Source organism: Homo sapiens, chromosome 19 (assembly GCF_000001405.40).
Source record: "Homo sapiens chromosome 19, GRCh38.p14 Primary Assembly".
Lineage (NCBI taxonomy): Eukaryota > Metazoa > Chordata > Mammalia > Primates > Hominidae > Homo > Homo sapiens.
The window spans coordinates 24,063,616-24,080,722 of NC_000019.10; the positions used below are offsets into that span (position 1 = coordinate 24,063,616).

A 17,107-nucleotide genomic window follows, 5' to 3' on the forward strand; every position below is an offset into this window, starting at 1 on the left:
ATCACCCTGGAAATGTGACTTACTTTTCCTGCCTGTCCCTAATCACAGGGGGTACTGGAACATATTGTTGGGCCCAGCACGTAGCTGATGTGACAATTTTTTTTTGGGTTCTGCTCACAAAAGAGATTATGACATGTGATTGTGCCTAACACTAAGGTGATGTTACTTTTTTTTTTTTTTTGCTTTGGCTCTGCCCTTAGAAGGCATTGAGACATGGCTGGGCTCAGCACTAAGAAGATGTGAGTCCTCTGCCTGAAGCCTGACCACAGGGAGCATTGTGACACATTTCTTGACCCATTACAATCTCTTCTACGGGCAAAGCTGAGGTAAATGCCCGTTTTACCTATGTGATGTGACATTCCTCTTCTGCCTGGGCCATGCCCACAGAATAGAGTGACGTATTGGTGGGGCAAGCAAAACAGTGGTGTAATTATTCTGCCTGGTCCCTGTACACAGGAGTCACTGTGATACATGTTTGGGCCTCCCACCTAGATGATGTGACTTTTTTCTTCTGGAGTTTGTCCACAGTGGGAATTGTGATATGCCACGTGACATAGCTCCTATGTGATGTGACTCTTTCTCATTCTTGGCCTCTTTCCACTGGGGTTACTGGAACATAAAGCTGAGCCCAGCTCCTAGGCTGTGTCTCTCCTTTCTAAGCCCTACCCACAAAGGACATTGTGACGTATCTCTAGGCTTCTCACCTAGGTAATATTACTTTTTTACCTAGGCCCACCCCTCAGGGGTATTGTGAAATACTGCTGGACCAACATGCTAGATGATAGGAGTCTCTGCTACTGCTTGGGGTGTGATTAAGAGGAAATTGTGATGTGCATTTGGGTGCATCCAGCACCTAAGTGATGTTAACTCTCCTCTTGTGCCTGAGACCTGCATGCAATATGTGTTTTTGTGTTTTTTGTTTGTTTTTGAGATGGAGTTTTGCTCCTTTTGCCCAGGCTGGATTGCAATGGTGCAATCTCAGCTCACCACAACCTTCATCTCCCAGGTTCAAGCAATTCTTCAGCCTCAGCCCCCTGAGTATCTGGGATTACAGGCATGTGCCACCAAGCCCGGTTAATTTTTCTAATTGTAGTAGAGATGGGGTTTCTTCATGTTGGTCAGGCTGGTCTCGAACTCCCAACCTCAGGTGATCCACCGACCTCAGCCTCCTAAAGTGCTGGGATTACCGGTGTGAGCCACCGCACCTGGCTGGCATCATGTATTTCAACATGTCTCTGGGTCCAACAACATTATGATGAGACTTTCCTGTGTGGGCTCTCACACAGAACTATTCTAACACATCTTTTCATTCATTATCTTGGCGATTTGACTTTTCTGTTCCGCTTGAGCACTGCCAAAAGAAAAATTTGTGGCAGATCACTGGACCTAGCACCTAGGTGATGTGGCTCTTCTCACTTGCCTGAGACCTGCATATTTTGGTTATTGTGACATATCACTGAAACAAACACCTAGGGGTTGGAAGGCTTCTGCCTGAGCCCCTCCCACAGAGGGCCTTGGAATATATTTTTTTATCCATCACCTGGGAGATGAAACCCTCTACTTCTACCTGCCTTCTTCCCATAGAGAAGATTGTGATATATTGCTGGGCCCAGGAACCAGGTGTTTTGTCTATCTTTTCTGGGCTTTGCCTACAGTGAGCCTTGTGACACCCAGGTGATCATACTCTTCTTCCTATGCCCTGCTTTCAGGAGAGGATTATAACATCTCTGGTTGAGAACTCTGTGATGTGACTCTCCTTGCTGGTGCATGCTGTCAGGGAAGATTGTGACATAACCCTGGCTCAGCACACAGTTGATGTGACTCTTGTGCTTGTTCTCTACCCACAGGTGGAATTGTGACATATAACTTGGCCAAGCACACAGATGTAATGGTGTGGTGACTCTCATACCTAGAACTGGGACCTGTGCAGGATTGTTAATTCATTACTGGACATTCCTGTGGGTGTGATTGTTACATATGCCTATGTTCAGCACCCGAGTGATTTGATTTTGCTGCCTGGTCTCAGTCCAAATGTAAGATTGTGATTTATCGCTGAATCCAGCACCTCGGTGATTTGACTCTCCCTTTTTTTGTGGGAGGGATCCTGCAAATTTTGGGTATTGTCAATTATTGCTGAATCCTGTACCCATGTTATGACTCTCCCAAATGTGCCTTACCTGTTGTGGCACAATATATCACATTAGACATTGTTAAATATTGTTGGGTTCAACACCTGGGTGATGGATGTAACTTTTTTTCTGGGCCTGCCTACAGGGGACCTTGTGACATAACTCAATGCCCATCATCATGGTAATGTTACTCTCTTCTCCTGCCTGATCTCTGCTCACAGAGAAATTGTGACACATCACTGGCCTAGCATCTAGGTGATGTGACTCTCCTCTTTTTTTCAGGCTCTGCATATTTGGGTATTGTGACATATTGCTGAACTCAACACCTAAGGGATGGGAGTCTCCTACCTAGGCCCTTCCTACAGGGGACATTGTGACATGTCTCTGCATTCCTCATCCAGGAGATGTGACTCTCCTTTTCTGCCTACACCCTGCCTACACAGAAAGTTGTGGCATATTGCTGTGGTCAGCAACCAGATGATATATTTCTCCTGCCTGGGTCTTTATTACAGGAAAGATGATTGACATATTACTGGGCCCAGCATCCAGATGATGTGACTCTCTTCTTCTGTTGGTCCTTGCTTACAGGGAAACTGTAGCATATTGCTACACCCAACACCTAGCTTATGTGATTCTTCTTTTAGGTTTGCCTTCAGGGAACATTGTGACATATTGCTGGGCCCTGCACTGATAATTTGTGACTCTTCTGCCTGTGATTTGCCCACTTGGGGCATTGTGACATATTGCTGGGTTTAACACTCAGGTGATGTAACTTTTATGCCTAGGCCTTGCTTACAGGAGGCATTTTGAAATGTCTTTGTGGCTGGGCATGGTGGCTCATGTCTGTAATCCCAGCGCTTGGGGAGGCCAAGGTGGGCAGATCACAAAGTCAGGAGTTCGAGACCAGCCTGGTCAACATGGTGAAAACCTGTCTCTACTAAAACAAAACAAAACAAAACAAAACAAAACAAAACAAAACAAAACAAAACAAATAAAACCACAAAAATCAGCCAGGTGTGGTGATTGGTGCCTGTAGTTGCAGCTACTCAGGAGGCTGAGGCAGGATAATCGCTTAAGTCCAGGAGGTGGAGGTTGCAGTGAGCTGAGATTGCACCACTGCACTCCATCCTGGGCAACAGAGTGAGACTCCATCTCCAAAAAAAATAAAATAAAATAAAATAAAAATACAAATGTCTTTGCACCAATCCTACAGGTGATGTGACTCTCTTGTGTTACCTGGTCTCTGCCCCCAGGAAGAATTGTGACCTTTCACAGCGTATAGCTAATTTTTTTCTTTTATTTCTTAGTTTTTCTCCTGCAGGAAAGATTGTGAAATATTACTGAACTAAGCACCAAAGGGATATATTTTTTTTCTTGGACCTGCCCATGTAAGACCTTGTGACATATTGCTGGGCCCTACACCTAGATGATGTGAGTTTTCTGCCCGTCAACTATTTTATGTGACTCTCCTCTCTTATCTTCACTTTGTCCATAGGTTAGCTTTTAATATACCTTTGGGCCTGGGTCATGCTAATAGAAGCAAGAGTGACTTATTGTTGGGCCCAGCACACAGGGGATGTGATTCTTCTGCTTGGTTCCTGCCGAAATGGTCATTGTGACATATCTATGGGTCAGTTGGCTAAATGACAGGACTCTTTTTATCTTTCTGGAGCAGTCCACAGTAGGAAATTTGACATATCGCTGGGCCCAGCACATATCTGATGTGACTCTCCTCTCATGCCAAGGCCTTGCCTACTGTAGTGATTGTGCCATATAGCTGGGCCCAGCTCCTACGTTATCTGACTCCTGTTTTCTTCCTGAGCCCTATGAAAAGATTGCATTATTAAATATTTCTGGGTCTTTTACCTAGGTGATGTGACTTTTCTTTCTGGCTTGTCCTCTCAGAGGGTATTGTGACATGTTGCTGAATGCAGCATTTAGGTGATACGACCCTTCCTCTACTGCTTGGACTCTGACCAAAAAGGGATTGTGATGCATCACTGGGCCCAGCACCTACGTAATGGGACTCTTTTCTCTTGCCTGGACCCTACAAATATTTTGCATTGTGACGTGTAGCTGGGTCTGCCACCCAGGTAATGTGAGTCTTCCACATAAGCCCTGGCCACAAGAGTATTATGAAATAACTTTTTATTCATCACCTAGGTAGTGATGTGACTCTTCATCAGCCTGTACCCTGCCACAAGGGAATTGTGTTGTGTCAGTGGGTCCAGCACCTAGATGATGTAACTCATCTTTTGGCTGGACCTTTCATATTTTACATGTTGTTACATATCACTGCATCTGACATTAGGGGATGAGAGGCTTCTGCCTGGGCCCTGCCCACAGATGGCCTCGTGACATATTTTGGCATCCATCACCTAAGAAACGTGGCTCTCCTCACCTACATGCACCATGCACAAAGAAAATATTGTGGCATATCACTGGGATCAGCCACCAGGTATGTGTCTATCCTCTCAGGGTGTTGCTCACAGAGAGCGTTGTAACATATCACTGGGCCCAGCACACAGGTGATGTGACTTGTGGCCTGTGCCTATCTAGCCTTTTTTTTTTTTTGAGGCAGAGTCTCACTCTGTTGCCCAGGTTGGAGTGCAGCGATGTGATCTTGGCTCACTGCAAAATCTGCCTCCTGGGTTCAAGCAGTTCTCCTGCCTTAGCCTCCCAAGTAGCTGGGATTACAGGCATGCATTACCACACCGTTCTAATTTTTGTATTTTTAGTAGAGGTGGAGTTTCACCATGTTGGCCAGGCTGGTTTCTAACTCCTGACCTCAGGTGATCCACTTGCCTTGGCCTCCCAAAGTGCTGGGACTACCAGCATGAGCCACTGCACCCAGTCTACCTGCAGCCATCTTATAGGATTAGATTTTAATCCATCCCCAGCCAAGAACCTAGATGATGTGATATGACTCTCCTGTCTGGTCCTTGCCTTCAAAAAAGATTGTGACATACCTTTAGATGAGACCCAGGTGATGTCACTCTTCTGCTCACTTCCTACCCACCAGTGTCATTGGGACATATATCTTGCTTCAGCTTGCAATTGCTATGATGATTCTTATACCTTGAACCAGGCAATAAAAGAGTTATAGTCTCTCCTAGCTAGGCTTAGGAAAACAAACATAATCCTTAGTCTCCTCTTTTTGCCAAGGTCATAGAGAATTAACACTCTCTCAAATATTCTATAAAGCCCTCGGGTGGCACAGAGAGTGTCATCAAGGGACAAAAACACTGATGATATTGCGTTTCTTTTCTTTTCTTTCTTGGAGATGGAGTCTCACTTTGTCACCCAGGCTAAAGTGCAGTGGCATGATCTCAGCTCACTGTAACCTCTGCCTCCTGAGTTCAAGTGATTCTCCTGCCTCAGCCTCCCGAGTAGCTGGGACTACAGATGTGTGCCACCAAGCCCAGCTAATTTTGTATTTTTATTACAGATGAGTTTTCACCATGTTGGCCAGGCTGGTCTTGAACTCCTGACCTCAGGTGATCTGCCCACCTTGGCCTCCCAAAATGCTGGGATTATAGGTGTGAGCCACTGCTCCCAGCCCAAGATTGTGTTTCTTAAAAGAACATCCTGGCCAGGCTCAAGCCTGTAATCCCAGCACTTTGGGAGGCCGAGGCAGGTGGATCACGAGGTCAGGAGTTCAAGACCAGCCTGGCCAACATGGTGAAACCCCATCTCTACTAAAAATATAAGAACTCTCCAGGCGTGGTGGCGGGTGTCTAATCCCAGCTACTCAGGAGGCTGAGGCAGGAGAATTGCTTGAACCCAGGAGGCAGAGGTTGCAGTGAGCCAAGATCACGCCACTGCCGTTCAGCCTTGGTGACAGAGTGAGACTCCATCTCAAAAAAAAAAAAAAAAAAAAAAAGAATATTCTGCCAGGTGTGGTGGCTCACACCTGTAATCTCAGCACTTTGGGAGGCCGGCTCACGCCTGTAATCTCAGCACTTTGGGAGGCCGAGGTGGGCGGATCACAAGGTTAGGAGATTGAGACCATCCTGACTAACATGGTAAAACCCCATCTCTACTAAAAATACAAAAAATTAGCCAGATGTGGTGGCACATGCCTGTAGTCCCAGCTACTCAGGAGGCTGAGGCAGGAGAATCACTTGAACCCAGGAGGCCACTACACTCCAGCCTGGGCAGCAGAGTGAGACTTTGTCTCAAAAGGAAAAAGAAATAAAAACATCCTGCCGCTCATTACAATTGTAACCTCAAAATAGAGCCCACTGGTGAGGTCCTGAATCTCATATGCAGATGCAGTCCACAGTTGGAATTGTGACTGTGATATGCAAACATCGAGCCAGGAATGTCTCATTTCTAAAGCTACAAATGATGACTCACTTCTAAATGTAGTTCATAGGCAGATGAGGACTCTCCTATATTGATCAGCCAATTGGAGAGATGTTGACTCTCATTTCTGGGATTAGAGCAGCATGTACTATCAAGGGTCCATACCATCACAAATGTCTTAGAGTGGATTGCGACTCACATGCATATTGCATAAAGTCCTCAGGTAATGCATTGAATGCCCTTACATGGCCCAGCACACAGGTGACATTGTGATGCTGGTTTTCACAACCAGTCAACAGTAAATATGTCATCCTTTTAGAAAAACACAACCTACTTCTGAAGTTCTGAATCTCAACCCTGGAGGCAGTGGGAAGTTGCAAAGTTGACTCCCATGTGTGGATCTGCTCCACAGCTGGGCTGGTGACTCAGACCAAGATTCAGTGCACCTGTGAGGCTATGATTTTACTGAGAAGACAGAGTCTAAAGGAGAGATTGAGGCTCTTTTTCATGAATTCATCCATATTGAGATTGTGATTTCTGCACTTAGACCCAACCTCCAAATGGTCTTGCCTCTCATACCTAGAATGGGAATATGTGAGGAATTATTCATGTTATTCCTGAGCCTTTCTGCATGTGTGATTGTGACACACATCTCTGCTCAAAACCTGAGGAATTTGACTCTCCTGCCTGGGCCTGGCACACAGATGGGATTGGGACATATTGTTTGAAGCAGTATTTAGATGATGTGACCCTATACTCTTTCCTTGTTCCTGTCACAGAGTACATTGTGACATATCACTGGTCCCTGCACCCAGGTAATTTGTTTGTCTTTTTTATGCCCTGCCCACATGGGCTATTGTAACATATTGCTGGGTCTAACACCCAGGTAATATGAATCTCCTACCTATATCCTGACTACAGGGGCCAATTTTGCCATATTTCTGAACCCGTCATCTATTTGATGTTACTCTCCACTTTTTTTTTCTTGGTTTTAAGGAGTGGAGAGTTTAATAGGCAAGAAGGAAGGGAGAAGACAGAAAGAAGAAGCTCCCCTATGCAGAGACAGAGGGAGGGGAGCTCCAAAGCCAAAAGAGAAGGCCCCCTACTCTCGACTTTTACATAGGCTTTTCCCTAAGAGACATTGTAACATATCTGGGCCAAGCACCTACGTGATGTTACTCTTTGCTCCTTCCTGGGCCCTGACCAAGAAGGGGGAGTGACTAATCCCTAGGCACAGCACACAGGTGATGTAATATTTCTGCCTGTTCCCTGTCCACAGGAGACATAGTGAATGTCCCTGGCCTACTAAACAAGATGATATGACTATTTTTTGTCTCTGAGACCTGTCAACAGTGGGGATTGTGACAGATCACTTGTCTCAGCACCTACATAATTTTTCCCCATGCCTGGGTGCTTCCCACTGGGGTGATTGTGGCGTATAACTAGGTGAAGGGCCTAGGTTATGCGACTTTTCTCTTCTACGTGAGCCTCACCCACATAGGGCATTTTGACATACCTCTGAAGCTCTAATTTAGGTAGACTGCTGCATGGACCCTTCATTTTTCAGGAAGTATTGTGCCATATTTTTTTGACCTAGCTATAATGCTTCTAATGCCACTGCACTCCAGCCTGGGTGACAGAGTGAGACTACATCTCTTCTAATGCTTGGGCTCTGCCCAAGGAGGGATTGTGATGTATTGCTGGGCCCAGCACCTTGGTGATGTGACTCTCCTCTGCTTCTACAGGGTTCAGGACGGAAAGGAGAGTTACATCACTTAGGTGATGAACAAAATGATATGTCATAATTCCCCTATTAGCAGGGCTCATGCAGGAGAGTCACATCACCTAGGTGTTGGACTCAGCCATATTTCAATATGCAAATTGTATATTGTGTTTATTAAAAATTGTATATATTGAAATATGGCTGGGTCCAACAGGTAGATGGTGTGATTCTCCTGCTTGAGCCCTTCTAATAGGGAAATTATGACATAATCATTTTGTTTATAACCTAAGTGATGTAACTGTCCTTTTCTACTTGAGCTCTGTATAAAGGGGGGATTGTGACATATCACTGGACCCAGCATCTGGTGGTACCAGTCTCTTTCTGTTTTTCTTTTTCATTTTTTTTTTTTCTTCTGAGATGTAGTCTCGCTCTGTCACCCAGGCTGGAGTGCAGTGGCATGATCTCGGCTCACTGCAACAGCCACCTCCTGGGTTCAAGCAATTCTCCTGCCTCAGCCTCCCGAGTAGCTGGGGTTAGAGGCATGCACCACCACACCTGGCTAATTTTTGTATTTTTCGTAGAGATGGGGTTTCGCCATGTTGGCCAGGCTGGTCTCGAACTCCTGACCTCAAGCGATCTACCTGCCTCCGCCTCCCAAAGTGCTGATATTACAGGTGTGAGCCACTGTGCCACGCCTTATTACCCTCCTCATCAGCCCTGTGTATTTTGGGTATTAAGACATATTTCTGGGTCAAACCAAATGGGTGAAAGGCTCTTGCCTGGGCCCTGCCCACAAGAGGCCTTGTGACACATCTCTGCATCCACTGCTTTGGAGGTGTGACTCTCCTCTTCCATCTGCACCATGACCACACAGAAAATTGTGACATACCTCTGGGTTCAGCAACCAGGTGTGTACCCAGGTCTTACCTGCAGAGAAAACTGTGACATATAACTTGGCCCAGTATCCAAGTAATGTGACTTTGTTGTCTGTGCCTTGCTTTCAGGAGAGAATTGTAACATAACCCTGGTCAGGCAACCAGGTGATATGACTCTCTGTCTGATCCCTACCCTGGAAAAATTGTGACATATTTCTGACCCAGCACCCAGGTGATGTTACTCTCCTGTTTTCTTTCTACTCACAGTTTGGGTTGTGACATATACCTTAGCCAAGCTCACAGTTGTGGTGATGACACTAATACCACAAACCAGCCAAAAGGAGAGTTACTGGCACTTGTAACTATACTTGGAGAAATGGGTAAATTCCTGGGTCTTCTCTAGATAATGTCATAAAGGATTACTTTTCTTTCACATTTTATATAAAGTCTTTGGATGGTACAGAGAGTGTCATCACAAGACCAAGCACACAGGTGAGACTGTGTTTCTCATATGCACAACCTACCAAATGTTAGCATTGTCACCCTGACCCATGGACAGTGCCCACTGGAGAGATCCTGAATTTCACAGGTGCATGCAGTCCACAGTAAAAATTCTGTTACATGTGATCATGCCACTACAGTTAACATGGTGACTAATTTCAAAATCCAGCTCATAGGCAGGTGAAGAGTCTCTTCTTGGGACCCAGCCATTTGGAGAGATGTTGACTCAAATACATGGACTTAGGTTCACAGGTATGATTATGAATCCATACCAGGAAGAAAGTTTCAGAGAAAATTGTGACTTTCATGAATACTGTATAAAGACCTCAGATGGTACAGAGAGTTTTATAATGAGGCCCAGAACACAGGTGACATTGTGACACATGCACACCCAGCCGACAGTAAAGATTGTCATCTTTCCACATGAATACAGCTCACTGTTGAAGTTCTGATTCTCATATTTGGAGGTAGCCAAAAGCTGGAAAATTGACTCTCATACATGGATTTGGGCTATATGTGGGTTGATGACTCTCAGACCAAGATTCAACATACCGCTGAGGCTGTGACTCCACTAAGGGGACACAGTCCACAGCATAGATTGAGGCTCTTATGCATGTATTCAGTCCACCTTTGAGATTGTAACTGATGTACTCAGACTCAACATACAAAAAGTGTTGACTCTAATACCTAGAAATGGGACATGTGCAGGATTGTTAATTTTATCCCTACATTTTCCTGCAACTGTATTGCAACATACACCTCTGACCAGCACCTGAGTAATTTGATTCTCCTCCCTGGTGCCCAGCCCACAGATTAGATCATGACACATCACTAGACCCAACACCTAGGTGGTGTGACTACATTTGCCTCAGCACTGCCCACAGGGAGGCATTGAGACATATGGCTGAGCCCCACACCTTGGTTATGTGACTCTCATTCCTGTGCCCTGCCATTATGGGTCATTGTGACATATTGCTATGTGCAGCATCCAGGTGATGTAACTCTCTTTGCTGGGTTCTGCCTAAAGGAAGCATTACAACCTATCTCTGTACCAATCACCAAGGTAATGTGACTCTCTTATTCTACCAGGTCCCTGCACACATAAATAATTTTTTCTATTACTGGGCCCAGCATCGAGCTGAAGTGACTCTTCTCTTCTAAGTAGGTTCTGCTCTCAATGTAGATTGTGACATACTGCTGGGCTAAACAAGGTGATGTGAGCCTTCTGTCCAAACCCTGCCCATAGCAAGCACAGTGACATATCTGTGAATCCATCATCTTTGTGCTGTGACTCTTACTTGGGTTTGGCCTATAGGAGAGATTGTGACATATCTCTGGGACCAGCACTTAGATGATGTGACTATTCTTTCTTCCCATGGCCATGCTTCCATGAAAGAGCGTGACTTATCCCTGGGATAAGCACACAGGCTACGTCATTCTTCTATCTGGCCCCTGTCCACAGGGATTATTGTGGCATATCTCTGGGCCCATTACCTAGATGATGTGACTCTACTCTTCTTTCTGGGGCCTGTCCACAGTGAGGATTGTGATGTATCACTTGGCCCAGCACTTATGTGATGTGACTCTTCTCATGCTTTGGCTCTGCCCACTGGAGTGATTGTGATATGTAGCTGGGTCCAGCTCTTAGGTTATGCAATCTATCTTTTCTCTGTGAGCCCTACCCACAGGGGGCATTGTGACATATCTCTGAGCCTCTCACTTAGATGATGTGAATTTTCTGCTAGGGCTGTTTTCCCAGAGGGTATTGTGACATTTCTGGGCCCAGAACCTAAATGATGTGACTCTTCTATGGCTTGGGCTCTGCCCAAAATATGACTCATTTTTGTGACTGATCTCTGCATACATGTATTGTGATGTATGGCTGGAACCAGCACCTGCATAATATGAGTCTTCTGCATGGACTCTTTTCAGGAGGGTATTATGAAATATCATTTTGTTTATCACTTAGGTGTTGTGACTCTCTTCTTATGACTGGAACCTGCCACAAAGGGCAATTGCAACATATCACTTGACCCAGCACCTAAGTGATGTGATTCTCTTTTTTTGGGGGAGGGGGTCTCACATATTTTGAGTATTGCTGGGCCCAACACCTAGGGAACAGACTGCTCCTTTCTTGACCCTGCCCATGGGGGCTTTGTGACATATCTCTATCAGGGGAACCAGCACCCAATATTTCAATGTAGGTTCTTTTCTGTTTTCCCTAAGTGTTGGCCAGTCTGAGAAATAAAGAGAAAGAGTACAAAAGAAATAAATTTTACAGCTGGGTCTCCGGGGTGACATCACATGTCAGCAGGTTCCACGATGCCCCCGAGCCGCAAAACCAGCAAGTTTTTATTAGCGATTTTCGAAGGGGAGGGAGTGTACGAATAGGGTGTGGGTCACAGAGATCACATGCTTCAAAGGCGATAAAATATCACAAGGCAAATGGGGGCAGAGCAAGATCACAAGGCCAGGGTGAAATTAGAATTACTAATGAGGTTCCATGTCCCGCTGTGCATGCATTGTCATTGATAAACATCTTAACAGGAAACAGAGTTCAAAAGCAGAGAACTGGTCTGACTAGAATTCACCAGGCTGTAATTTCCTAATCCTAGCAAGCCTGGGGGCGCTGCAGGAGACCAGGGTGTATTTTATCCCTTATCTTCAACTGCATAAGACAGACACTCCCAGAGTGGTTATTTTAGAGGCCTCACCCTGGGAGTGCATTATTTTGCCAGGCCTGTTCCTTGCTGAGAAAAAGAATTCAGTGATATTTCTCCTATTCACTTTTGCAAAAAGAGAAGTATGACTCTGTTCTGCCCAGCCCTACAGGCAGTCAGGGTTATCTCCCTTGTTCCCTGAAAATCACTGTTATTGTGTTCTTTTAGGATGCCCAGAGTTCATATTGTTCAAACACACATGTTTTACAAACAATTTGTACAGATAATGCAATCATCACAGGGTCTTGAGGTGACATACGTCCTCAGTTTATGAAGATGACAGGATTAAGAGATTAAAGACAGGCATAGGAAATTATAAGAATATTGATTGGGGAAGTGATAAGTGTCCATGAAATCTTCACAATTTCTGTTCAGAGATTGCAGTAAAGACAGGCACAAGAAATTATAAAAGTATGAATTTGGGGAACTAATAAATGTCCATGAAATCTTCACAATTTATATTCTGCTGCGGCTTCAGCCAGTCCCTCCGTTTGGGGTCCCTGACTTCCTGCAACATATCTCTGCATCCATGACCTAAATATGTGACTCCTCTATTCTGGCTGCACCCAGCTTACAGGAAGATTATGACATTTTGCTAAGTAAAGTGTATCTTGTGCTGATCTCCTATGTTATTCTGTGACTAAGAATGCCTAACCTGGGGTTGCAGCCCAGTAGGTCTCAGCCTCGTTTCACCTCAACACTATTCAAGATGGAGTCGCTCTGGTTTGAATGCCTCTGACATAGAGATCCATTGTAAAATTATGAAAAAAATTTATTTGAATTGCAGTGAATAAGAAATGGAAGACCTAGGATGGGCTATTCTGAAAGATTTAGCAATATTTGTATTTGTCAAAATTTAAGTTTTCCGTTAATACTTCTGAATAGATACATTGTTTTATTCTGTCAAGTTTAAATAGATACGCTTGATAATACAAGGAGTTCCCACTGTGAAAGAAAAATAAATCTCCTGATGCCAAAATTACTAATCCAATAGAAAAGTCAAGCTGGAGACTACATCAGGCAAACCTGTTTCCTATTTTATTCTTAAATAAGATAGCTACACAGATAAAAAGCTACATACCTACCTCACAATTTGCTCAGAAGGAAATTCCTAGTGAATAGATGACAGACAGAACTCAAAGTTATCTCTCTGAGGCTCACCTGAGACAAATGCAGATCTGTTTGTTTCCTCTGCCCTATTGTTAATTTTAAAATGCAGATTCACTGAGCCAGGCTAAATTGTGTATTCAGTGGGAGACTTATCAAGGACTCAAATAAATTTATTATTTTTTCTCTTATCTACTTATGACTTGGAAGCCCCAACCTCAAGTTTTCCTGTCTTACCTGACCACACCAATGTACATCTTAAACATGTTATTGATGTCTCTTGACTTTCTAAAATGTATTAGAAGACTGTACCCCAACCACCTTGGGCACCTGTCATCAGGACCTCCTGAGGCTGTGTCACAGGCTCCTACTTAACCTTGGCAGAATAAACTTTCCAAATTTATTGACACTTGTCTCAGGTACCTTTTGTTTTACACAGCCAAGGCACTGCTAGCTGGTCACTACTGCACCCCAGACTTATCCACCACCATTGCAGGGACTCTGGTTTCTTGATAGCAATTGTTTCACTTCAATGGAAGATGGACAGGTGTGTACCTGAGAATGCAGCACTGAGCTCCTGGGTGATGTGGGATGTTCCAAGCATCAGCTTTCAGCCAGTCTATCTTATAACTGTTGAAAGTTACTTAGTGTAGTGTGAAGATGGGAATAAACAGCTCCTGAATGCTAACAATGGCTGTTCATTATAGGGTGACCCAAGGTGGCCATGCCATGGTTCTGGGTTCTTCTGTGGCTTCTCAGTGGCTGATGGAGTGGTTTTTTTGGTCTTGTGATACAGGGTGTGTGTGTCTAAAGGAGTGGAGGGCAGGGTGGGGAAAGGAGGTGACAGGCAGGTTCCTGGAGGTCACCTCCTGGCATTATTCTTGTGGATTGCCAAGTTTCTTGTTTGAATTTGTTTCTTGTTAATAGTACATGTGTCCTCAGCAAGGAGGTGAAAATAAAAAAAAAGAGCTTGGAACAGTCTCAGCTCTGTGAGGTCTGCACAATTTATCAAGCCCAGAGAGATGAGACTGTGGAACTTCACCCAGGGGCATTTTTTGTTGTTGTTGTTGTTTGTTTTGAGACGAAGTCTCACTCTGTCACCCAGGCTGGAGTGCAGTGGCATGATCTTGGCATGCTGCAACCCTGCCTCTTGAGTTCAAGTGATTCTCCTGCTTCAGCCTCCCACATAGTTGGAATTACAGGCACATGCCACCACACACGGCTGATTTTTGTATTTTTAGTAGAGATCGGGTTTCACCATGTTGGCCAGGCTGGTCTCCAACTGCTGATCTCACCTGATTTGCCCACTTCGGCCTCCCAAAGTGCTGGGATTAGGGGCAATTCTTTAAAGACATTTACTTTCTGACTAGCAGTCTCACCCATTATTTCTTTATTAGGAATTTGGAAAATAAAAGAATATATGCAGCCAATCAATAGCTTATGCATTTAAATATGAATTCTTGGTAAATAACTTAGGAACTGCCTTCTCACTTTTTCAAAAAGACTCACTTTCAATGGCTGCTAATTAAAATATATATTCAGGGCAACTTAAATCTGTCCTCCTCTTGGCTATCCTCAATATCTGACATTGAGTAAATGTATTTCAGGTTACATTTTAACCTTTTTTATTATTTTAAGTTGACTGAGGGCTGGCCTGGAACATTCTCCTTGGTATAAATACTCCAACTATAAGCTACCTGCTCAGTAGAGGAAACTAATCAACAGCAGGGCCTAGCATAGGTCAAAGACACAAGCAGTGGGAAGCTTTTTGGGGCCTGGCTCCTAATTGCAAGGACAGTTGCACAGGTGTCTCTGAATGCTTAGACAGCCTGGCCTTTCCTGACCCAATGCCCCCCATCAGCTTTTTCAAGCACATCTTGATCTTTTGTCATTCTGTTCTCTGGGGTGAAAACTCATCGTCAGGGCTGTCTACAACAAAACAGAAGTATCAGGTTACTAAAACCTCAGGAACAGAGATTACGGATTGGGTTAAGAGTGTGCCCTTTCTTAAGGATGGTACGCATGGAAAAGCAGCAAGCAGTTTCAGAAAGATACAGGAAAAATTGCCTCTAACGGATATTTATACTTCAACTCAATTTATTCTGTAAGTGGTAGGGAAAATGGGATAAAATACCATATGTTCAAGCATTTTTGCTTCTCAGTCAGAATGAAACCCTGCAGCAGGCATGTCCATGTTTCATGAGAGAAATAGAAGAAAAAGAGTTGGACATACAAGATGATCCTTATTTCAAGCCCCCCTGCCACTTGGTTCAGCGGGCATTTTTGGGTGAAGCAGAACCTTTCTGTCAGGTCTGAAGGTTCAGATGTGTTGGTCTTTTTTCCCACTAATACACCTGAAAGTTCTATTGAGAACCATTTGTCCCTCCTCCCTACCCTTCTAGTCCCACTCTGTACCCACCACTCCCTGAAGAACTTAGCCCAGTGAGTACTACTCATAGTGGAGCTGCCTATCAACCTCCAAGGGGAAATCTTTGTCCACCTACAGAGGTTGCAAATGGGGAAGAAGGCCTGTGAGAGGAGGTGTCCCCTTTTCTCTGTCTGGTTTGGCTCTATAATAAGACAAGTTTGGTCATTTCTCTGAAGATGCAGGAAAATTCATAGGTGAGTTTGAGAAGTTAACTCTGACCTACAGTTTAACATGGCAGGATCTGTACATTTTGTTGTCTCTGTGTTATACAGTGGAAGAAAAACAATGCATTTTGGGGACAGCTAGGACTCATGCAGATGAGGTATTGGCTTGCAACCCGAACCATAATATATATCAGACAGGAGGTATAGCAGTTCCAGATCAAGATCTAGAGTGGAACTATCAAAGGGGGTGTGAGGACTTGGAAGAAGAGATCATATGGTCACTTGTTTGTTGAAAGAGATGAAGAAATGTATGAAAAAACCTGTTAACAATGAAAAGGTTAAGCAACTTTCTCAGGGCAAAGATGACAATCCAGCTTTGTTTTAATAGTGTTTAGTTGAGGCAATCAGAAAATATACTAACACTGATCTTGCCTCAATGAAAAGATAGACCCTTCTGGGAGTACATTTTATAACCCAGTCTGCCCCTGATATCCATAGAAAACTACTAAAAGCAGCTATGGGTCCCCAAACTTCTCTGGAACAGCTTTGGATATGGCATTTTTAGTTTTTAATAACAGGGACAAAGCGGAGGTAGCGGAAAGAGGAAGAAGGACCTCCCACAAGTTGCAGGTCTTGGTTGCAACCTTAAGCTAACCTCCCACATGGGGTTGCCCTCCTGGGTCTTGGGTTGAACAAGGGAAGCTGAAAGGTGGGAAGCCTAAACCTGGGTGTCCGAGTCACTGTGCCTTGGGCATAAATCAGGTTGCACACTGTAAGAAAACTGACCACTGGAAGAGGGTTTGTCCAGTGTTCTGAAGAGAGCCATCAGCACGTGAACTAATGATGGGTAAAACAGCCAGGCAAGCACCCAAGAGTGACGGGGACTGAGACCTTCCACCACGGTTTCCATCAGACAACTAGCCATATATCTGGAAAAGCCTCAGTATTTTTTGCCATGGCAGTTAAGAATATGAAGTTTCACCAGGTGCGGTGGCTCACACCTGTAATCCTAGCACTTTGGAAGGCCGAGGTGGGTGGATGACTTGAGGTCAGGAGTTCAAGACTAGTCTGGCCAACATGGTGAAACCCCATCTCTACTAAAAATACAAAAAATTAGCCAGAAATTGCTTGAACCTGAGAGGCGGAGGTTGC

The 17,107-nt window shown here is 44.5% G+C and overlaps 1 protein-coding gene across 23 annotated transcripts in view; it reads left to right on the forward strand.

The window, feature by feature from the left end:
- Window positions 1-17,107, forward strand: part of ZNF254 (zinc finger protein 254) — a 96,520-nt gene that overhangs the window by 30,167 nt on the left and 49,246 nt on the right. For 5 of the 23 annotated variants that reach the window (XM_047439750.1, XM_047439746.1, XM_047439738.1 and 2 more), the window contains 2 exons: window positions 201-326; window positions 1,848-3,560. The exons of 10 other annotated variants lie outside the window; for them this stretch is intronic. The gene's annotated coding sequence lies outside the window, so the exon portion shown is untranslated. Of the gene's footprint in view, window positions 1-200; window positions 3,561-17,107 lie in introns of all 23 variants that reach the window. 8 more of the 23 variants (XM_047439742.1, XM_047439743.1, XM_047439739.1 and 5 more) reach the window with 3 other exon arrangements.